The sequence below is a fragment of the Homo sapiens genome, chromosome 16 (assembly GCF_000001405.40).
Source record: "Homo sapiens chromosome 16, GRCh38.p14 Primary Assembly".
NCBI lineage: Eukaryota > Metazoa > Chordata > Mammalia > Primates > Hominidae > Homo > Homo sapiens.
The window spans coordinates 47,299,954-47,324,356 of NC_000016.10; the positions used below are offsets into that span (position 1 = coordinate 47,299,954).

The window sequence follows — 24,403 nt, forward strand, 5'->3', positions numbered from 1 at the left end:
ATAAAGAGTGGTGTCTTATGGTTGCCACTTGTGTTTCAGAAAGGGCATGGGATGTTCTTTCCCTGGAGTAGTTCCTTCTCATAGTCTCCTGGCTACTCCCTAAGTTAGATTCAGGACTTGAGAGGGACATAGTACTCTCCTATGGTCTGGATTGTATGATTCCCCAGTGGGAAAGTGGACTGCAGAAAGAGTTTCATTCACCTTTTCCTGTAATGGGGAATCACTCCCAGTTCCTGGCCCACTCTGGTCAAATAGGCTTCCTGTTTTCCTTCTGCTTCCTATTTTTTTCTTGTTGCTTTTCTGTTGACTTCCTCATGTTCCTTCTTGGAAAATCTATTCTAACTGTAATTGTCTACATGCTATTTTGCTCTTTGAAGTATGAGGTGTGCTTGAAATGCTTCTAGTCAGCCATCCCTACCACTTGGTCACAACGGTGTGTTGGAGACCTCTGACATGAATGGCTGAGAGAAGGTCCAGTTCTTCACACCCCTGAGGGCAGCAGGTAAGGAAAGAAGGATAAGGTTCCTGGGCAAAGAAAGACCTGGAGGAACTGGAGACTATCCCACCTTTCCTAGAGTGACAGTTCTGAATTCCAGTGACTGTTACTTGGTGGTAAAATGATGTGTTTGGATAGCCATGGAGGCAAAAACTCACAGCTGAAGGGCTGCTGTCTATGCATCTCCAAGATTTTAACAATAAATTTGGCTTTAATGATTCTTATAATATACCTTAAAATAGAAGGCAGATGGCTTAAAGAGTTTAATATAAAAAAGACATCTTGAAACACTTGATGGAATTCTGAATACAGAATGTTAGTGCTGGTAGCGAGTACCGAATTTCAGTTACTTATTTTCAGATTCTAGCATAATGCTCCTTTGTAAGTATAGACAAATTATTGGATAAATACACAGCACAGTAAAAAAGATTATGCAATGAACTGGATCTACTTCTAATTGAGTGATCCACTCAATTCTACTACTAAGTGAGTGATCTTAGATAAATCACTTAAGTTCTCTGTGCCCTAATTAATTCATAAATAAGTAGACTATATGATTTTATATTTCCTTTCAGCCCTAAAAGCCCAGGAGTATAATTTTTAAAAAGTATTGAAACACAGAAATCTATGTGCCTTAATAAAAGTAAATAACATTCATGACTAGAGAGATTTACTAAAAGACAAATGAGAATAAAACACACAGATCAGTGAACAAAACAAGCACCATTAGGCAATCCTCCTTCCCATAGGAACAAAGAGTTCAAGATGATTCTTGGTGCAGATTTTCACTGAGAGACAATGGACTAAAAACTAGAGAAAATGTAAATTAATGTATTATAATATAAAAAGGTCAAACCTGCAAGTGCCTTACTGAGTCTGTGTTGATTTACAGTAAACATGAATTCTATTTCAAAACTGGCAGTATTTCCAATTTTTCTTTTTCTTTTCTTCTTCTTCTTCTTTTTTTTTTTTTGAGATGGCACTGTCGCCCAGGCTGGAGTGCAATGGCACGATTCAGCTCACTGTAACCTCCGTCTTCCAGGTTCCAGCAATTCTCCTGCCTCAGCCTCCCGAGTAGGTGGGACTACAGGCGCCTGCCACCATGCCAGCTAATTTTTGCATTTTTAGTAGAGACAAGGGTTCACTATGTTGGCCAGGCTGGTCTTGAACTCCTGACCTCAAGTGATCCGTCCACCTCAGCCTCCCAAAGTACTGGGATTACAGGCGTGAGCCATCGTGCCCAGCTATTTCCAATTTTTTCTAGCTAAATATTTCATGACTGACAAATGACAATAATATAGGGAATGCCTGATTTGACAGAGAATCAATTATAAAACGATTTCATCTATATCTGGTGCTTATTTCCAACAACCTATTCAAAAGTCCTACTTAAAATTTTGTTTAACAGGACTCATTTTATTGGTTGATCAAAATCAACCAGGTTTTTTGTTAGACTACAGCACTGGACAAACTCAAGACTTGGCCCACTAACTCACTTCATTAGGTATTTTCTCATGGATGCCAGATACTGAAGAGGCAGCCAACCATATAGATGTGACCTTGTCTAGTTTCCCCAATGAGTCTTCAAAAAAAAAAATCTTTATGTTTCTGAGGTTTCTGATTATAAAAGCAATGCTATGGTGTGGTAAATTTGAAAAGAAGCACAAGAAAAAATAAGTACCTGCTACTAAAACAGAGAGGGAATTATTCTGGTTCTTTAAGACTCCTGCTCTCAAGGAACTTGTATTTGCTTTTTTTCTATTAACGGAAGGGTTACCAGTCACTTTTAATAGTCAAAATTTGTATTCATATTTAAAAGACTAGAGAAATTTGTCTTTTAAAATAAGTCATAAGCACTGCTCCCAAATACTTCAGTTAAAAGAAGTCCTGCTGAGGAAAAGACCTCTTCTTTAGGTATGACATTTTTGGTATTTTTTTTTTTTTAGCAATGTTAATGACTAATACATAGTATATTTAAATGATTATACTATTGAGAGGTGACAGCGTGCTGGCAGTCCTCACAGCCCTCGCTTGCTCTCAGCACCTCCTCTGCCTGGGCTCCCACTTTGGCCGTACTTGAGGAGCCCTTCAGCCCTATGTCCAAGATCTTAATGCTGCAATCACTAGACACAGACAATTTAAACGTTGTAAAAACTTACTTTGTGGGATTAAAAAGCTGTTACCAAGAAATTAAAGATAAATAAAGCCTAATTTAATGGAACACCCCATACTTTCCTCTCTCATTTACACTCTTATTTTGACAACTTCTCCGTAATGCACCAGAAGTATATGCTTCATTTCACAGATGCAGAAATTATGACACTAAGCCAGGCCTTTAAAGCAAATCTTTTTATATCAAGTCTAATTCTCATGCCACTGTGCCACATCGCCTTGTTACCTGACTTACATTTGCTATGTTTGCACATTGGTATGAAGAAAACACTTAGATCAATCTGAACTAAGCTTCTTCTCTGCAAAAACAGAGACGGGGTCTTGATATTTAGATTTAGTGACAAATATGTGAAGAAAAATAGACGATAGGCTGGGGGCGGTAGCTCACGCCTGTAATCCCAGCACTTTGGGAGGCTGAGGCGGGTGGATCACGAGGTCAGGAGATGAAGACCATGCTGGCTAACAAGGTGAAACCCCGTCTCTACTAAAAATACAAAAAATTAGCCAGGAATGGTGGCGGGCGCCTGTAGTCCCAGGTACTCTGGAGGCTGAGGCAGGAGAATGGCGTGAACCCAGGGGGCGGAGCTTGCAGTGAGCCGAGATCGCACCACTGCACTCCAGCCTGGATGACAGAGCGAGACTCCATCTCAAAAAAAAAAGAGACAATAATGCTGATTTATATTTTCCTTTTATATTCTTTCCGTATAGTATATATTCTTTATTTCTGTCTTTGCTTATGAAGAAAGTGAGAAAAGGTGATGGGCTTATGTAGAGAGATGTATCTTGCTACCAAAGACTTATTATGAGCTTTAAAAACTCACATACACAACATTGAAAACAGTTACCCAATATAGCACTTAATCTATCAGCCTTAGGGGGGAAAAGGTTGCAAAGTGAGGATCCGGAAAGATTTGGACATTTTAAGTTACTTCCGGAAATCTACAGAAATACACTTCCTGCTGAAACCTTTTAATCCTCCCTTTTAGTGTTAGCCATTTTCTTTTTCCTTTTATTTCCTTAGAGACAAGGTCTGACTCTGTCACCCAGGCTGGAATGCAGTGGTGTAATTATAGCTCACTGCAGCCTTCAATTCCTAGGCTCAGGTGATCCTCCTACTCAGGCCTCCTGAGTCCCTAGGAACACAGGTGCCTGCCACCATGCCTGGCTAATTTATTTCATTTTATTTTTTGTAGAGATGGGGTCCCACTATGTTGCCCAGGCTGGTGTTGAACTTCTGGGCTCAAGTGATCCTCTCACCTTGGCCTCTGAAAGTGCTAGGATTACAGACTTGAGCCACCACACCTGGCCTGTTAATAATTTTCCGTTGCAAGTTTTCAACTGATTCTACCCTTACTTAAATTAGTCTGATCGGACTAAGTCACTGGGATTTGGAAAAAAAAAATTCTTAGATTGATACATTTTAACTTACATGTTTTAAATGTTCTGAAACATAAATAAACAACCCTTTGGGATTTATAGTTGTAGAAAAAGAATAGAAATGAAATAGCCATCAGTTCTTTCCGTATCAATAATCTGTGTAGTCTACAGTCGGTAGGAGGTTACCTAGCTGTCACAGATCTCTTGGAATTAAAGTCATCGCTCATGTTGTGCCAGTCTAGCTTAATTACAGGTTTCTTAGTTAAGCTTAAGAGGGAAAGGGAAAGGAATGGTATTTCAATCTTCAGAAGGAATTTTCAGGGTAGGTATAACCACCTTCATTTTATAAATTTACAGGTACATAGACAGGTCAAGTAAGTGACAAAAGGAAACAGAAGTATAAGTGGCAGCACTGGCATTTCAACTGAGATCCAAAGTACATGATCTTTATTTAATTCTCTTATCCAAAGGTGCATTTAACAATAAACTTTTCAGTTAACTGTATGTGAGAGATGACGTAGTGCATGTGTTTCACAATGCACGCTGACCTGAATTCCTTTGAGCATAAATGTTGTCTGTACATTTGTTTCTCCATTTGTGTTTTATTTCTCCTTTTATTAATATATGTGACTGAAAGTATATATATAACAAGACAGGCCTGAATCTAAGTCTTGTCCTATTCACAGACTATTAGGAGAAGGATTTTCCATCTTGTCATCTGGTGATTCCACACACGATAACCACTAGTCTGATTCATACAGATGGTTAAGATTTACCAAAAAAAAGTGCAAAATCTTCCATGTCACTCTTCTTTTGAAGAGGACTGCTACTATTCCTTAGGAGTCATAAAACTTTGTGGCCACTATTCTTGTAAAAAAGCTGATTGATATTAAATAAAATGGATTTAAGTATATTATCTCAGAATGGCACTCTCCTTTCCCAGCACTGCCTTAAGAAATACAAAAGTTAACTGTATATGTTGATGATTCAACAGCTAAAAAGCTTACTTTACTTTATCACAGTATAATTTTATGTAAAAACAAATTTAGAAGTGTACTCAGTGCACTTCATGGACATATGGAAAATGATGAAATTTATCTTGGTACCACTAGTGTATAAGTAATGAAATTTACCAACATAATTTGTCTGGAAAGACAAGTATATACACTCATATATCATTTACTACTCTCTCTCTGTAATTAATGATGTGCTGTCTTATACATATAAACTGCTTGGAAAATGATACTTATGACCCACTGTCAGTAAGAATATTTTCTGGGTTGCTTTCACAGTGGTGACTAGTACTTTGTAGTGAGTAAATTTCATTTCTGTCTTGTTCACTTCTGTAATCAGGGTAGTTATTGAGCTGAACAAAGACATTTTTCAAGAACACAGCACAAAAGATACAAGTTAAAAAATGTGAGGGTATGGGCAGAGAGACAAGGAGGGCAGACCTACAACTTCCCTCATGTGTTCTAATATGAGCTTTAGAAACAAATTAACTAAGAAAAAAAACCTAAGAGAATGAAACAGAAGACAAAAATAACAAATAGAAATTTACAGGAGTCACAATTCAACTCCACATGGTAACATTTCAAACTACTATGGATAAAGTACAAATCCAGTATCTTAGAAAGAACATAAGAGGTTACCTGCAATGAACAATCAGATTATCACCAGACTTGACTAGCAAAAGTGAATATCAGAATTTAACAGAGAAGTGTTTTTAAGGATATGAAGTAAAATAATTTTGAATCTAGAATTCTATACTCAGCCAAGTTAGCAATTCAGGCTGGGGGAAAATAAAGAAAATTTCAGACATGTAAAGTTTCAGAAAGAGGCTGCAGACTCTCCCAGATAGAATTACTTGATAATGTGTCCAGAAAAATGGAAACTGAAGAAAGAACAAAAGATATAATATTCAGTGGTGATCAGAGAAATCAGTAAACCCTGTAGCTAAGTGTAAATAACTGTAGCAACAAAACGTGAAAATCATTCCATCAATTGATAATACCACTGAACGAGAAGTAATCGGGGTCGGGAGAGAGAGAACTAGAAGTGTCCTAAAATACTTGCCTTACATATTGACTCCAGTAGTTCATTAAAGGTAAAATTTAAGTATAGGTATTAATATTTAATAACCACAATGACAAAAATAAAAATTTTAATATGTTAACCACCTTAGGAACTATAAAAGGAAGAAAATGTTGAATAATCCAAAAAAAGGCAGAAAAGAAAATAAAAATAAAGATTTAAATAACATAATTAACTGGAATGATATTTCAGATAACCATTGACTGAGCTATTAAACCACCAGAAACATTTCAACAAGTTTCTAAAAGTATTGCACAAGCCACATTTATATTTGCAATGCCATATTAAAAGCATAAAAAATGAAGAGATAGACTAAAATCCAAAAAACCACCATAAAAACAACTTTGGGCCCAAACATATTTATGTGAACCCTTTAAGATACCTTTCTAAATAATTCTGTGTATATGCAAGATTTTAAATAAAAAAGAACAATGAAACCACTTATTATCAAAATATATGACCTGAAGTCAAGCTCACAATATTTAGTCTTAAAAGCACTTAATAGAAAACAAGAGTAAACTTCTATTAGTTTAGTATTCAATGAAATAATGTAAAAAATTAAAAAAAAAACTTGAAGAAAGCAAAACAGGAAAAAATGTAAAAATAAACATAAAATATTCATAGAAGAAATTCATCTTACTGAAAATAAAGGTGATTCTTTGAACCTCTACAATACTAACAAAAACACAGACATGACTGAAATAATAAAACGGAGAAAGAGGCCGGGCGCGGTGGCTCACGCCTGTAATCCCAGCACTTTGGGAGGCCTAGGCGGGTGGATCACAAGGTCAGGAGATCGAGACCATCCTGGCTAACATGGTGAAATCCCATCTCTACTAAAAATACAAAAAATTAGCCGGGCATGGTGGCGGGCGCCTCTAGTCCCAGCTACTCAGGAGGCTGAGGCAGGAGAACGGCGTGAACCCGGGAGGCAGAGCTTGCAGTATGTGGAGATTGCGCCACTGCACTCCAGCCTGGGTGACAGAGCAAAACTCCGTCTCAAAAAAAAAAAAAAAAAAAAAAAAAAAAAACGGAGAAAGAAGCCTTTATCAAGTCTGATGAAAGAAATTAAAAAGGCAAATAATACTAAAAACATGAAGGAGTCGTATCTAAAGACTTAGAGAAAATTTAAAAATCATAAAGGAATGCAACTTTATACCTATAAATTTAGTGTGTAAGGGTATTTATTAAAACTTTAATTAAAAATTGATTGCTGATAATGTGTAATATATCTTTTAATATATCTCCATTGGAATTAATGGTAGAATTAACTCTCACTGTCTACAGAGGTTTCTTCCCTCAGAACTAATTAGTGGAGTTCTTTTTCCATTTTATTATGGGACTAAGAATTTTAGTATGGGATTCATTATAGCAGATGAATAGGCAATATTATTGAAAGAAAATTTTTTGATCTTTACAAATTCCAACTAATGAAGTTGGAGTTGGTTGAGTGAAGGCAAGCGAACGTAGCAATATGAGGTCTTCTTCAATAATGACACAGAATGAGTTTACATCCAGGACAATATTTCTTTCTTCTTTTAACATTTATAATTTCAACTTTTATTTTAGATTCACAGGGTATATGTGCAAATTTATTACATGGGTATACTGCATGGTACTGAGTTTTGGGGTGTGACTGATCCCATCACCCAGGTACTGAGCACAGTACCCCATTGTTAGTTTTTCAACTCTTGATCTCCTTCCTCTCTTCCCTCTCTAGTAGTTCCCAGTGTCTACTGTTGGAATTTTTATGTCCATGAGTATGCACTGTTTAGCTCCCACTTATTAGTGAGAACATGCAGTGTTTGATTTTCTGTGCCTGTGTTAATTCGCCTAGGAAAATGGCCTCTAGCTGCATCCATGTTGCTGTAAAGTACATGATTTTGTTATTTCTCATGGCTGCATGGTATTCCATAATGTATTTATACCATATTTTAAAAAATCCAATCCACTATTGATGGGCACCTACATTGATTCCATATCTCTGCTATTGTGAATAGTGCCGCAATGAACATACACGTGCATGTGTCTTTTCGGTAAAACAGTTTATTTTCCTTTGGGTATATACCCAGTAATGGGATTGCTGGGTCGAATGGCAGTTCTAAGTTCTTGGAAAAATCTCCAAACTGCTTTCCACAGTGGCTCGACTAATCTAGATTCCCACTAACAGTGTATAAGTGTTCCCTTTTATCTGCAGCCTCACCGGCATCTCTACTTCATAGAGAACGTGAAAAAGAATAGTGGCTAGAAATGTTCCCACAGATGTAGGCCTTTGTACTATCAACCTCCATGCCTTTTGAAAAAGTAGAACATCTGCAACATAATGTAACCTTTCATTGATGAGTCAGGGTCAATAATGTGAAGCTAAATTATTGTATAAAGCTGAGGATGCTGATGAAAATGCAGATTATAACTGAATTAGGATGCATGATATTGGATAAGCTGTCTGATTTATCTCAGACTATTTTCATATTTGTAAAATAAAGATAATAACCAACCCATGAAAAACGATGGTAAAGTAATACAAACTAAAATTACTTTATAAACAAAAGCCATTTTCTTCCCAGCATTAACTAACAGGCAATATATTACATTTGGCCATTTACAGATTTACTTGCCATTTAATAGGCTTGGGATGTTCTCATGGCTGATACTCAGACTTCTGAGTGTGCTTCTTTGCTGCCAAAAACTTTTTTTATTTTTAGCTACTTCTAGGCTTGGAACTCCGATAAGAGCCCAGTGGAAGCTCAGGTTTTGCTATCCAGTTTCATTCGTGACTTGCAATGTATTAATAACAATAAAACTCTTCTTAAATATGTCAACATTTTGACTGTATCATACAAAGGTGATAGGAATAGTCAGAATGAAGACTAGGAGTCACATTCTTAAACACAGTCACTAGATTAAATTCTCAAAAGAAGGAAGAAATATTCACTCTATGTGCTCAACATAATGATACATTATTAACATAACTTCTTTTTTTTTTTTTTTTTTGAGATGGCGTCTTGCTCTGTCGCCCAGGCTGGAGTGCAATGCTGTGATCTTGGCTCACTGCAACCTCTGCCTCCTGGGTTCAAGTGATTCTCCTGCTTCAGCCTCCCAAGTAGCTGGGACTACAGGCGCCCACCACCACGCCCAGCTAATTTTTATATTTTTAATAGAGATGGGGTTTCACCATGTTGGCCAGGATGGTCTCCTCGATCTCTTGACCTCATGATCCGCGTGCCTCGGCCTCCCAAAGTGCTGGGATTACAGGCGTGAGCCACCACGCCTGGCCTATTAACATAACTTCTATAGTACCAGTGTTAATCAAACATTTACTTATTACTAGGAAATCACAATCTGTCTTTGAATTTTAGAAAATGATCTAACAAGGTCTAGAACATTAATTTTCATATGATTTGTCAAATTTTCCTACAGAAATGTAACAGCAACTCTAAATAATATTTATATTTAATTTAAAGTTAGGGCTACTTCTCATCTGTGATGGAATGAACACTAAGATGAACTGAAATCTATCCTTCAATTCTCATCCATCTTAAAAGAACAGAAAAGAAATAACTGAGTTTTACACAACTGCTTTTATAATGGTATTAAGACTTTCATAAAAAAGTACAACTGCCTTTAGTACTTATTTTTCCTGCAGAGCTAAAATGTTCACTGCTGAGTTAGCAGTTGATACCATCTGTATTGCTGAATGGCAAAGGAATTGTTAACAAAAACACTGTTGATAAAGAACTTTTATAGTAAAATATAAATTATTTACATATTCTAAGGATGAGTAATCACAGGATTAAATGAATTTAAAATGTAATTTCTTATTCTTCTGAATAGAGCCAATGTCTAAAATAAAGTAATTTTACAGTTCTTTGTTTTTATGTGCCACTATGCTTTTAAAAAGAACAACACTCACGTTCCATTCAGAAGTTTGTTTTGGCTATATCAGATCTGTTTCACACACATAGGTTACAAGTAAACTCTGCATAACAGAGCACCCTGATCATGTCCTTGGAAAACTCTCCAAACAGGATGCAGAGACATTATAATTTCAAACCAACGTGCTTAGGAAAGTTAACGTACAGACTCTCCCATACTTTTCTATAAATAGTTTAGGGACACTCACTAATGATAAATATTTCTCTAAATATCAGATTTCAGGACAACACTGTTTGGAGTTAAAAGCAGTAATACGTCTGACTTCTTCTGGAGAAGTTGTTTTGTATCATGAGCCTGGTTCTGAATATGGAGCTGAATCATTAGTAATTCTAGCGTCAACAAATAAATTAATGCTCAGAAAAATAATGTAAAAGGAAAGAAAGAATAAGGGCTAAGGAATATAATTAATTGTGAGATGAATAAAACGATAAGGTATTAAAATTTAGGAATACTCATATTTATGGCATCTGTCAGGATTCAAGCTAATTATGAGTTTAACTACATTGGTTTATCTACTGATACTTCTATTTCAAAAATTAAAGTAATTGCAGCATTAAAAGTCACTGCTAATGCAATAAATGTACTCACAGTTGACATATACAAAAAGTATCAACAGTCATGGTGGAATTTCCAGTGTCATTACAAAACAAGCAACAATAATGTAACAACATTTACTAAATGTAAAATCAGTATGCCAAGAGTATCTTTCTAAGTGGTTCATTTACTTTTACCTTATTTAATCTTTACTATAACTCCATGACAGAGGTACAATTATTACACTTATTTCACACATGAAGAGTCTGAGTAATATGACCAAAGTCACACAGATGGTAAGTGGTTGGACTGAGATCAAAGCCTAGAGTCAGTTCTTAACCACCAGTGTCTTCGGTCTCAAAATATAATTGGGTCATTTGCCTATAACAACTTTTGAACTTTTAAAGATTAAGTTTTATTGAGTGAAATATAACTGTTTGCTTTAGACTAAATGTTCATTTTTGTTTTACAGATAATGAATCTGTGAAAAAAAAAAAAACAACTAAGCAGTTGTGAGAAGTGCAGGGACCAAATTTAAAAACAGGAACTGAGCTCACCATGTTCCTTATTTAAGAGATTATAACATATTTAGGTACTATTCAGTTGCAAAGTACCATGGTTTGCAAATATTTCTCACATAGTTTACAAATATTTCTCACTTGATTTAATTTCCTTACCTTCCAGATGTGTTCTTTAGTATGACCAGAGCGTCTGGATAGCCATCCATATTGTAGTCTCCAATATGAAGGGTAATTGGAATTGGTATTTCAGTTGGTTGCTGTTCATCCACAAATGGCACAAAGCCCCAGAGTGTGCCCTTATTGCTGAAATCTTGTAGGACTGGAACCCACTATGGATTAAGAGAAAAAGATCAGACTTTATAGTTATTTTATAAAAAAATTTATAATTTGCAAAACAAACGATCCATTAAGTTTTCAAGATAAGCATTATTTTACTTAACTTTTTTATCTCTACAATATGGTAGGGGATCATAATTTACTCTGATGAATAGGTGACACTCTGGGAAAAAAAAAAGTACTTTCCCTTAGAATTTATCCTAGTCATTTTTGTCTGAACTGGCACAGAAAGCCTTAGAAAGTTTTTCACAATACCACATGAATCTTAGGATTGAACTGATATTAATACACATCTAGTCAGATTACATAATTTAAAACTGTGTCACATAGAAACACTCGAACGTTTAAAAAAAACTAGAGCAAGCTGTAATATCATCTAATACTGATGTGCTTTCGGGAGGACCAACTTAGGAGGAAAGTTAGAACATGACAGAGACCCCGTTGTTCATTCTACTGCTGTGTCTCTTACACATGCAGATGACTTCAGTCATTGCCTTCCAGCCGAGCAGCTCCTGAGTCTTTCCAAACAACACCAGGCCTGACAGGCTTCATCAGTAACTGACAGGCACTTCTCAGCCAAGAAGACTGAGCTCTGTCACTAAAACGGCCGGAAGCTACATTTTTAGTAAATTCCTTTATTTCTATATTAATGGCCATGAAGAGAACAGAAAGAGAACAGAAAGCTCATTTGAAAATGAGCTTTGGGAATCCCTTTCTCTTCAGATTAACATAAATCTTCACTTTTTAATAACTAGAAATTTGAAGAGCGGAAATCATGCCATTAAAGTTATAGTTGTGCCCACAATTTGCTGCATATGAATGCTGCCACATAACCTGAAGATGTCTGAGCAGAAGCAGGCACAGCTGACTTGAGATGGCAGGAGGCCAAACATACCTAGAGATTCCCTTCCTTTCCTTCTAAGCAGGTGACTCATTTATATGGCTGCAAGTCAAATTATATTAAAGATGGTTTCTTGAAAAGGGGTTAATAAACAGGGTATCTCCAACAATTTATGTATTTTCCAAAGAAAGTATAATTTACCAGGGAAAAAGGAAACTTGGTAAAGACATGTTTACAGAAAATGAGTTTTTTTAAAAAAAAAGGTATGCATCTTTAATAATTTTTCAATCTTTAAGCAAAACAGTATTATTTTATATATCATTAAAATGTTTCAATGGTTTCACTTGGTTTTTAAAAAATTGTTGTGTTTTATTTCAGCAGATGAGAATTTCACAAAATGCCACGTTATCACAAATTTCTGAAGAGGCTGACAGGTTATTAATCAGGATAAACCACATTGAATAAAGTATTCCTGTTAAGGTAAATGTATTAAGGCCTAAAAAGTAAAAAGATTTTTCAGTATCAATATGACACTGATAATAGTCACCAAAGAACTGTGACATTTATCTTCCCAGAGAGAGATGACTGTATAATTTGAAAATATTCTTACAGTAGTCTGTCGATAGGCAATAATTACTAGGATTACTAATAATTATGAACCAATGATAGTTACTTGACCTAAAGTTTTAAGTGATTCAAAACCTTAAAAAAAGTTCAAGATAAAACTTACAGGTATAACAGTTAAATGTTTTCATTTATTTTATTTTTAAGGCTAATAAAGTGAAGCTTTGGGGGTAGAGAAGCAACAAGGAAATCTGTAACTGGCTGTGTTCACTTAACACCACTGTACTCACACTGGCCAGTTAAATGCTTTTAGAATGCTGACTGTGTGAAGATTTGTTTTCACATAAAATATGATGCTCCTTTTCCATAAGGGCTATAAAAGTCAATACGTTATTCTATCATTTATTACCCTCCAAAAGAAACATTAATTCTAATATGATTGTTATAACCTATCATTCCCATATTAATCCTCCACTGTGACTGTCAGATTCTAAATTGCTTACCTACAAGCTACAGGTAAAAGTCAGCATGAGATAATAAAATAGGTTTAAATAACACAAATAAAAACAAGATCAGTTTCGAAAATAGATACAACGTTCTTCTAAGTAACCTTTTATTATAGTGTGTTTTGCCATATTCCTGGCATATAAAAAGCTAAAAGATCATTTAATTATAGTATCCAGAATGGGTTTTCTTCACTAGAAATAATTATAACAATGATTTTCCCGCAACAAATTAAAAAATAATATATTTAAATGCATTTCATTAAGTTAAAATGAGGAAGTCGGTAACTTAATTTTGGGGTTCCCTCTGTTCTGATTCTACAGGTATCTTTTCTAACCTTAGAAGATTTTTTTCCAAGCACATAAAAAAAAATGTTTACATTAAAAACAACTTGATATACCTGCTTCATCCCAGATCTCACTAAGTAGATGGTACTCTTTTGGCAATTTTTATCTTCACAGCCTGGCAGTAAATGATCCATGTGTCCATCTCCATCTGCCAAAAGAAACTTCAAGAGTCCATTAATAGTCACAAAATAAAGTGTTCTTGTATGGTATATTAAATTTACTATTTGTTCAAAGTCTACATCAATCTGGATAAAACAGAAGAATTTGACACATGGCTTCAAAATGAATATGATTTTATTTAAAAAATTACTCTGGCCCTTGCAACTGATTATCTGGACTGTGTCTTGTTCTAAATTGCACACTTCTGTGTGGTTAAGCATTTCTATAGGAGGGAGGGGGGCAAGGGCTGAAAAACTACTGGGTCCTATGCTATCTGGGTGATGGGATCAGTCATACCCCAACCCATGTAACAAACCTACACATGGACTCCTTGAATTTAAAATAAAAGTTGAAATTATAAAAAGAAAAATGTATAGTGTTGGTAAGAGACCCCATTTCAGCCTGTAATGTTAAAACCATCAATTTTTAAAAATGTAGCTTTGACTTATTTACATAATTATCACTGCTGCCATAGAAGAGAAAAATAAGCATATCAACAGTAGTCCATTATTATACAGAGTATTTTAAACGTGAGACTCTTAACTTTATACATATGTAAGAGACTTTATTCTGGATGAACTTCGATCCAAGAGTTATAAAGCCCTCAACACTCTGGCTTCTTAAAAGTACCAATAAATTTTTATCAATGAAAAAGCAAATGAAAGGAATATAGATATCCTTTCCAAGTGACTGTTTTTTACAAAGCACAGTATTCTGCTAAGGCCTACAGAGGTGAGGTTATGGAGGAAGTTAGTAAGTTACTGACATTACTGAGGTGTCAGCTCTCTAGTGCTCTCTCCCATCTAATGTCCCTGCTACCTGATGGGGTTTACAGATTTTGATGTCGCAGAGTTAAGTCTCTTTATGTGGACATTCACAATGCACAGTCACTTAGTTTTTTAATTTGGGGATTGATTTTGTATTGCTTTAATCACTGATTTACTGCTGTTGTTTATTGTATTATTTAACTCGTGCCTGAGGTAGTATATACACTTGGAAGAAAATAAAAGGATTATTAATACAGAAATATGCTTCATTGTATATTTAGTGAAGCATACTTACGTACTGAGAGCTATGTAGTTATCAAAAGCCTATCAAGTCTCCAATAATGTATTCAAAAGGAAAAAAAAAGAATTTTAGGCTGAGTGGAATTAAAATCTAGCCAATGGAAACTGACTTCAGCATGGAAAATTAAAAATGCACAACAAAGTAAAAAATGAATTTCTTTCATTTAATTTCATGATTTGCTTACTTAGGATCCTCATGATTAATAACATTATGATAAACCCTGCCTTAGAGGAGTGCAACATTAAATACAATAGTTGAATTAATAATAAAATATGTAGAGAACATCTGTAATTTGCAACATATAGATTTGGACTACTGAGAATTAAATAGATTGAGAGACAAAGATGCAATTCTAGGCAGGAATACTTGAAAAGGAGAAGGTTTTCCAAGGAGATAAACATATATCACAGCTTAAAAAAAAAAAAAGTTTGAGAGCTAGCCAAGTAAGAAAGAACTAATACAAAAATGTGATTTACAAACTGGCTCAAGTGATAACATAGACTTCATTAAAACCAAACCATTCTACTGTAAATTAATGGGAGAACAATTTGAAGAGCATTACCACGGCTTTTCCCTTCATTTTTACCCCAATGACAAAATGCTCATATTAGAATCTTATTCATACTTTACTTCTCCCCTAGTTTCTCTTTCTTCCAAGTAGTTTCATATATCTCATGCCTCTTTTGACAATGAATTGGCTGGTATTTTTTCAAGTGCTCTAACAACTACCTAGTAAACATATATCTAACTCGTGGAAACAGCATAATCATGCACTTTAGTATAAATTATCAGTAATATTTTATAGATATGGTCACAGAAAAATAAACTCAATCACAAAATGTGTTTCTTGTGCTATTCTAAATGCCATATATATATACACATATATATAATTTATTATTTTTTTTTGAGGCAGAGTCTTGCTCTGCCGCTCAGGCTGGAGTGCAGTGGCACGATCTCAGCTCATTGCAACCTCCCACTCCTGGGTTCAAGCAATTCTCATGCCTCAGCCTACTGAGTAGCTGGGATTACGGGCATCTGCCACCATGCCAGGCTAACTTTTGTATATTCAGTAGAGTCCGAGTTTCGCCATGTTGTCCAGGCTGGTCTCAAAATCCTGGCCTCAAGAGATCCGCCTGCCCTGGCCTCCTAAAGTGCTGGGATTACAGGCATGAGCCACTGCCTCTGGCCTTATTTTTAAAAAATATTTAGGTGAAATGACAGAAATGCTTTTTGAGAGTACAATTTCAAGAGTATAATTTCAAAGGAAATTTGCTCTTTAAAAGGAGAGAAGCTTTTAAATTGACATATTTCAGTTTTTTGTACTTTTTTAAAAGCTTTTTTATTTGGTAGTAATTTATACTTAAAGTTGCAATAAGAGAAATAGTACAAGAAACATCTGTTAAGCCTTTAACCACATTTGCCTATTGTTAACATTTTACCCCTTTTACAAAATTATTTGTGTTCTTTCCCTCTTTGAAACAAATTTTTTTCGGAACCATGTATATAAGTACATACATTAAGGTCCTTTGTCCCTAAATGTATCACTGTGCATTCCCTAGGAGTAGGGATATTCTCTTACATAACTACAATACAGTTAACAATTCACAGTTTACACACAAACAATGCATTTATCCAATGTGCTATCTATATTTCAGTTTTGTCCACTGACCTCTTGTTCCGTACAGCATTTTTGTCCCTGCAGCACAGGATACAGTGTAGGACTAGAAATTGCATAAAGCTGTTACTTAATAGCCTCCTTTCATTTGGAATGTTTCCACAGCCTTTCTTTGCCTTTAATTTGCATATCTTTTAAATCTCACACTACAGGAATATTTTATGTTTTAATATATTATTATGCCTGGGGAAGAAAGTACTTTTAACATGGGAAAAATCAGAGGCACAAGGCTAGGAGCTAGAATTACTTTAAGCAAATTCTCAGAGAAATAATGTCTCTTTGTGAGTAGATTACAAAGAAGGGCATGCTGATGGAGATGCTAGCCTGTGAACTTGGCACAGTACTTAAAGAAGAACCAGGAATTTATAACTTTGGATTGTCTTTTCTTTGGGACTTCAGTAAATACGTATCTCAGGTTTTCTTGAAGGCCAAAATTCTTTCTCAAAAACTCAAGAGAAACTGCAACAGATGGAATAGCATTTTGATTTACTAATATTTACAAAAACCAGTGTAAAAATCAGCCTTTTTCAGGACTGATCATCCTGAACTAACAAACACATGCTAACTTCCCTTTGATGGTAACTCTAGCCAAATTACAAATGAAATTCTTCTCTAAAACATATAAATACTTTATTGAAATAGAATTAAGGGTTTAAAACTGATTTAGAGAAACTAAAACTGATTTAGAGAAAATTTTTAATTTTAAAAGCAAAACTAAAGTGTTATTGTTCTTGTCATAAAAATGGATTACAATGAATTTTTATATATAATTTTTGTTTTTAATTAAGCAGAGAACAATAAAAGATACACATAAAAAAGTTCACATATATCACTTATTCTCTTAAACATTCTTAATATTTTCATTCTAATTAAGTTAACTGACCTGTGGAATTGTTTAAGCAAATTAGAACTCATTGTTCTGGCCCCAGATTACCTTTCCAACTTTGTTAACCACAATTTCTCTAAAGCAGTGGTTCTGCAGCCTCTGAATCGGCTGGGAAGTTGTTGGACATGAGAATTCTTAGGCTCCTGCCCAGATCTAACAAATCACAACCTCAGGAGGTGGGGCCCAGCACCTTGTATGTTCGTAAGTTCTCCGGCTGACTGGATGCTGACACTTGCTCTCAGGAATCTACACTGGTCCCCCATTGATGCCAGGGGGTGCAATGGGCATCCTACTTCTAATGTCTTGATCATGTTTCTTCATTTAGAATAAACTTCTTTTCTTGCTAATCAAATTATATTACCCCTTTAGAACTCTCTGTATCCCTTCCTTTTGAACACTGCTCCAGCCTCTTGGGACTCCAGGACATCTTCTACATAATCTCATGTCTTTTAGACACGTCAGCTCACTACGGTAATAAAACACATACCACTACATTAAGAAACTTTTTTCTGTGAATGTCTTTACACTTGGTAACAGTATGTGGAGATTTTAACGTAATGGAAAGAAGATAAAATTAGGAACAGTTAGATTTGCATTTTTAACCTAGCTTAGCTGCTAATAATGAGTAATCAGGCACGCAATCTTAAGAAACCAAAAAAAAAAGTCATTTTACTCCATTCCCTGCTCCCCTCCAGTGGCAACCACCATAGCAGTTTCTTGTCTAACCTTCCAAGACAATCTATGCAAATACATATACTACATATAATTTTGCACAAATAGTAGTGTACTCCACACATTTTCTGGCATCCTAAATTTCTGACTTAATAATCTTTGAGATGGTTTCATAATGGTAAATCTGTATTTGTGTCATATAGAGAATATAGTATTACATTGTATGAAGGTATCTCAGTAACTGATTCTCTATTGATATGCAAATGCTGGGTTGTTTCCAATCTTTTGATAATCCAAACAATCCAACAATGAATAATTTTGTATAATCTCACCTTTGTGAGATTATATCTGTAGTATAAATTCCTAAAATGAAAATTATGGTTTCAATTGTTACATTAAATTAAAATTTATATTTTACGCTCCATAGAAGAATAGTTCTCAAACTTTTAAATACTCTGAAAAACTGAAGACCCCAAAGAGCTTTGTTTATGTGACTTATATCTATGCTTATTTACTGTATTAAAAATTAAGACAGAAATAGTTCAATATTTTTATTAAGTTAAAATAACCATAAATATATTACATGTAAACACAAATAACAATTTCATGAAAAATAACTTTTACAAAACAAAAAGTTTTTGAAAAAAGAGTAGAATTGCCTGGCTTTAAAATAAAATTATATTTTAACACTGATTTTATATGCAATCTGTTGTAATATGTTGTTTTGGTTGACAAATACAAAAAATGCAGTTGGTAGAAGTATTAAAATAGCCTTTTCAGACAACCTTGGGTATTATCCCATCTATCGTCAAACTCAACAAGTAATTTTTTTTAACGGTTATTTGCAATGAGGAATCTAAAGCCATATCAATGAATTTTCCCTACTCTGTTAATTAAAACCATTGGTCTATCTTGCACTTTGAATGAATGCTTCATATCCATCTATGCATTCATGTAAAATGCATGACTTTGTGAAATCACACATTGATCATTTGAAAAATATTGGTTATGTGGACCTTCTAAATGTTGATACACTTCATTATATCATATCAAAAATTCACATTTGTTGCTATCACTACAATCTCATCACAAAAGTCTTTAGATGTTGGGAAGCTGTCAGCTCATTGCAGATAAAAGTTTTCCAAAATTCAAATTTTTGCTTGAAAGCTCAAATTTTATCACTGCTACTGAATCCTGTCAGTTGTTTTCTTGATGTGACAAGCTCACTTCGTTCATTTTAGAGAAAATGTCCATCAACTACCGAAGCTGGAATAACAGTAGCTTGTCTGTCAAGTTGTTCTTTCAAGTAAGAAATGGTATTTTAAGAAGTAGCTAGTTTAGCTTGCAACTTAATCTCACCACTGCTTTTCGTCAACACAACCAACATACTTGGTACGCAGATGTGTTTTACGCATATTTTCCAACACAGACTATTATAAAGCTGTATACTCAAGGGTTGAGACTTACTAAAATTATTGTTTTTTTTGCAGAAAGAATTACTAAGTGAAACTGACCACGTTTCTTGTTCCCTTCCTCCCCCTCCTTCATTTTAAAATTGTGAATATATGGTGATGAAGACCACAATGAATACTAGTGAAGTTTGGTGCTACTACTTTGATTTGTGCTACACTGGAAGCAGCTTTATCCACCATTGCTTTGCTTTGTCCTTGTAAATGTCAACATGTGAAAAAGTCAAAAAATATCTTAGTATTAGTGTAAAAACAATTTTCACCTTGTGTAATCCTTGAAAGAGATTCAGGGAGCCACCCCTCCAGAGGCCCAAATATATATACATATCTTTTTTGAGACAGAGTCTCACTCTGTCACCCAGGCTGGAGTGCAGTGGCGCCATCTCCGCTCACTGCAACTTTCGCCTCCTGTGTTCAAGCCATTCTCCTGCCTTGGCTTCCCAAGTACCCAGGATTATGGGCGTGTGCCACCACGCCCAGCAGAGGCCCATATTTTGGATCACACATTCAGAGTCACTACAAGAGAGGTTACACCAATACCTCAATTATCAAATGTTTTAACTTTTTGCCAGTCTGATAAGTGAAAATGATATCTCACTGTGGTTTTAATTTTTGTTTTCTAATGAATAATGTTGTTGGTCTTTTACCTGCCAGTTTGTAGCAGCCCTTTCAAAATTAAGAAAATTATTCTTTTATCTGTGATTTACTAATATTTTGCTTTATGGCTTCCATGTTTTGCTTATATTTTATAAAGGCATTTCCAGTACACACATATAACTCTGTTTCCCCCACCCACACCCTGTTTTGTTCTAGTACTTTGGAGCATTAGTTTTACTTTTAAGTCTTAGATTAACCTGAAATTTATTTTGATATACAATTGTGAGTTGTACTGCACTTTTTACAGATGGATATCTGGTTAGCTGTTCCACACCAATTACTGAATGATATATACTTTTCAGAAAAGAAACTAAATCTCTTTCACTTTGTCTTTTATCTGTAAAATGATTAAAAGGAACATAACTTAGCTACCATATGTGATCACTGTAAGGATTAAATGTGGAAGAAAGAATTTGGAAAAAAACCCTTAAAGCAGTAAACAAACATAAAGGAGTCCATTATCCCTATCTAGCCCTATCACTGTGGTATTCTGTGTATTTAATACAGTGGTATGCTCTGCCTAGGACATAGGCAAAAGAGTAAAAAAAGGCATTAACTCCTGGAAGGACAGAAGTACTTTTTCTTCAGGGTTCTCACTTCAAAAACCCACTGCAAAGTTGTCAGTGGAAATACTAAAACACTTGGTCATGAAAAATGAAACTAACAATTTAGAATTTGACAAATGTTGCTCCATAGATGGTGAAAAAAAATTGTAAATGGAATGGCTAAATATTTCTATCTACAATCTGGAACTCTGAGTTCAAAAACAAAAATAAATCAGTGATTTCTGATTACAGAGTAGAACATGGCATGACAGCTAACACAGGGAATAAGTCAAAATGCCTCCTTCCACCATCTGGAAAATCTACTCATGGATGACTGTAGCATAGATGAGCTATAAATACCACAAATCACATGACTAATTAATGGTAGAAGGTTTTAAATAGAATTCAAGGCTTTTAATATGTGAGACCCAGGGCTGAAAGATTTCTATGCAGAATCTCTGAAACTGCACTTCTTGCTAAAATGGACTCTGAATATAGACAGAAATAATGGCTTTCTCATTATACTTGGCTAGAGATAAGGGATATATGACAGATAATGTAATTACATATAAAATGACATTTTCTTTTGTGATTCATTATTAATATAAAGCTAGAAATACAGGCTGAAATTTTTAAAAATCCATTTACTTTTTACTTTTGAAAACAGTGAAGAATATAACTTTATATTTTTCAGAACACATCATTAACATAAGAGAAATTATTCTCACAAAAGTACAGAATGGGGCATGGTGGTACATGTTAGTTCCAGCTACTTGAGAGGCCAAAGCAGGAGGACTACTTGACCCCAGGAGTTGGAGGCTGCAGAGTACTATGACTGTGCCTGTAGATGGGCACTGCACTCCAGCCTGGACAACACAGCAAGACTCTATCATTTACAAACATACACAATGCTACATTTTTGATATCATAGGAAACAACGATTATTATATAAACCAGGCTAGATACTTTTAGAAAATAAAATTAAGAATTTTAAAATAATTGAATAGTATAAAAATATATGGCATGCATGAACATATTTACAATTCTTTATTTTTAAAATGCTCATAAACCAAATTATGACAATGTGAAACAAGTGCTAATACAAATGGAAAACAAGAAAAAAGATAGTATCATCTACATTACTATGTGGAAGGGATAAACAATTTCTTCAAAATATTAATTTTTAAATGGCATAAATGAAAGAATTATGAATATGTACATGGATTTACTTATTCTGCTTCAGATGTTAAATAGCATACAGGTTGATTTTAAAGTTCTGCACATATACAGAATTAATGTACCTATGTTATTGAAGAGAAGTCTACAAAGTACTAGTGCCTTAGTGGAACTTTAAAAATAAGAAATATATACTATTAAAGAATCTGAACATGATCAGAAAAGAAAAGCTATACTTCTTTAAGATGCTGCCAGTCACTGTCAGACATAGTAACGCTGGAAAGTGTGACATGGTACCAAGGACACAGAAAGTTAACTAAATTAGCTTTAATATAAGTTTTTGTAAAAACAATTATTAATTTTTAATTGACAAAAACTTTATAAATTTATGATCTACAACGTGATGTTTTGAAATATGAATACAGGCCAAGCATGGTGGCTCAAACCTGTAATCCCAGCCCTTTGGGACACCGAGGTGGGTGGATCACCTGAGGTCAGGAGTTCGAGACCAGCCTGGCCAACATGGCAAAACCCCATCTCTACTAAAAATACAAAAAGTTAGCCAGGCATGGTGGCAGGAACCTGCAATCCCAGCTATTTGGGAGGCTGAGGCAGGAGAATTGCTTGAACCCAGGAGACGGAGGTTGCAGTGAGCTGAGATCATGCCACTGCACTCCAGCCTGGGCGATACAGTGAGACTCTGTCTCACACACACACAAAAGAAATACGAATACACTGTGGAATAGCTAAATCTAGCTAATTAGCACATGCATTTACTTACATATTTAACATTTTTTCTGTGTGTTCAGAGCACTTAAAATCTACTCTCTTATCAATTTCCAAGTATATATTGTTATTAACTATAGTCATCACATTGTATTTAATATAAACTTAAGCTTTGTGAATACTTGGCCATCAGAAAGGACATTCAGGATGATTATTTTTCTCTTGCCAAGGTCTGAGATAAACCATTCTATTTATTGTTCTGATTGATATAAATATTTTTGTTATTTAAATTCCCAAATAATTGCCAGGCTTCAATATTATCTCATGGATACTTATCTAGTGATGCTTTTCTGTTTTGCTGAGTATACCAATTCTTTCACTACTATTATGATTTGAATATTTGTCCCCTCCAAAACTCATGTTGAAATTTAATGCCTAATGAGGCACTATTGAGAAGTGTGGCCTTCAAGAGGTGACTGGGTCAGGAGGGTTCTCCCCACATGAATAGATTAACTCATTCATGAGTTAATTAGTTGATATGTTAATGAATTCATGGGTGATCATGGCAAAGAACATGGGTTATCATGGGAGGAGAATCATAGGATTTTATATTTGGGAAGAAGATGATAATCAAAGTGCCATAAGAAAAGGAAGAGAGGCCTGAGCTACCACATTAGCAGGCTCAGCCCCCTAGTAATTTGATTCTCTGTGCTGCCTTGGGATTCTGCAGAGTCCCCACCAGGAGGACTCTGGTATTATCAGATGTGGCTATTATCAGATGTGGCTGCTTGACTTTGGACTTCTCAGATTACATAACTGTAAGAAATAAATTTCTTTTCTTTCTAAATTACCCAGTTTCATAAATTCTTTTATAAGTAACAATGGAATAAGACAACTACTATACCTTGATGATTTTTTTTCCTAACTCAGAGTTTGATAAAGCAGTCATGACCTATTCTTTTTCCTGTTCTGAGATTCCCCTCTTCTCTCCAATATGTGAATCAAGGTAAAAGCTGACTATCTCAGTGAGTTGGGGTAGTAATGGGGTGGACTGAGATTGGGTCTCAGTATACCCAATTCCAGCCCAGTCACCATGATGATGGTGGAAATGTTTCCTAAACATTCTACATGGCAACAGCCTTGTTTATTTTACTTTCTGAAGTCTGGAAGAGAACAGGGAGAGGAAGACGGGACTAGATTATTCTTAAAATTCTTATGATTAAACCCTAAAACTCTATGGCTATTGTTTTATATGAAGTATTAAATGTGCTATGAAATTATAATCATTTTAGCTTTTCTTACCAAAAATAAATATGTGTATATTTAACTATGCACAGATAGAGTATAATTTTTCTATAATGTTCGTTCATATGTCATATAAAATGAAGAGAAATATTTCTATCAATACTACTTTAAAATTTTGGGATATATCTTTAAAAATCTACAAGCCAGAAGAGAGTGGGGGCCAATATTCAACATTCTTAAAGAAAAGAATTTTCAACCCAGAATTTCATATCCAGCCAAACTAAGCTTCATAAGTGAAGGAGAAATAAAATACTTTCCAGACAAGCAAATGCTGAGAGATTTTGTCACCACCAGGCCTGCCCTAAAAGAGCTCCTGAAGGAAGCACTAAACATGGAAAGGAAC

At 34.9% G+C, this 24,403-nt stretch overlaps 1 protein-coding gene and 1 long non-coding RNA gene across 4 annotated transcripts in view; one reads left to right on the top strand and one right to left on the bottom strand.

The window, feature by feature from the left end:
- The window catches only part of ITFG1 (integrin alpha FG-GAP repeat containing 1), a 306,856-nt gene that overhangs the window by 145,563 nt on the left and 136,890 nt on the right, over positions 1 to 24,403 (bottom strand). For both annotated transcript variants that reach the window (NM_001305002.2, NM_030790.5), the window contains exons 9-10: positions 13,776 to 13,870; positions 11,287 to 11,459 (exon numbers count right to left, since the gene is read on the bottom strand). In NM_001305002.2, coding sequence (NP_001291931.1) covers positions 11,287 to 11,459; positions 13,776 to 13,870 — 268 coding nt within the window. The remainder of the gene's footprint in view (positions 1 to 11,286; positions 11,460 to 13,775; positions 13,871 to 24,403) is intronic.
- Positions 1 to 24,403, top strand: part of ITFG1-AS2 (ITFG1 antisense RNA 2) — a 60,347-nt gene that overhangs the window by 26,982 nt on the left and 8,962 nt on the right. The window contains exons 2-3 of one of the 2 annotated variants that reach the window (XR_007065057.1): positions 12,686 to 12,787; positions 13,699 to 13,781. This is a non-coding gene — a long non-coding RNA (ITFG1 antisense RNA 2). Of the gene's footprint in view, positions 1 to 12,685; positions 12,788 to 13,698; positions 13,782 to 24,403 lie in introns of those variants that run through there. The other variant, XR_007065056.1, reaches the window with a different exon arrangement.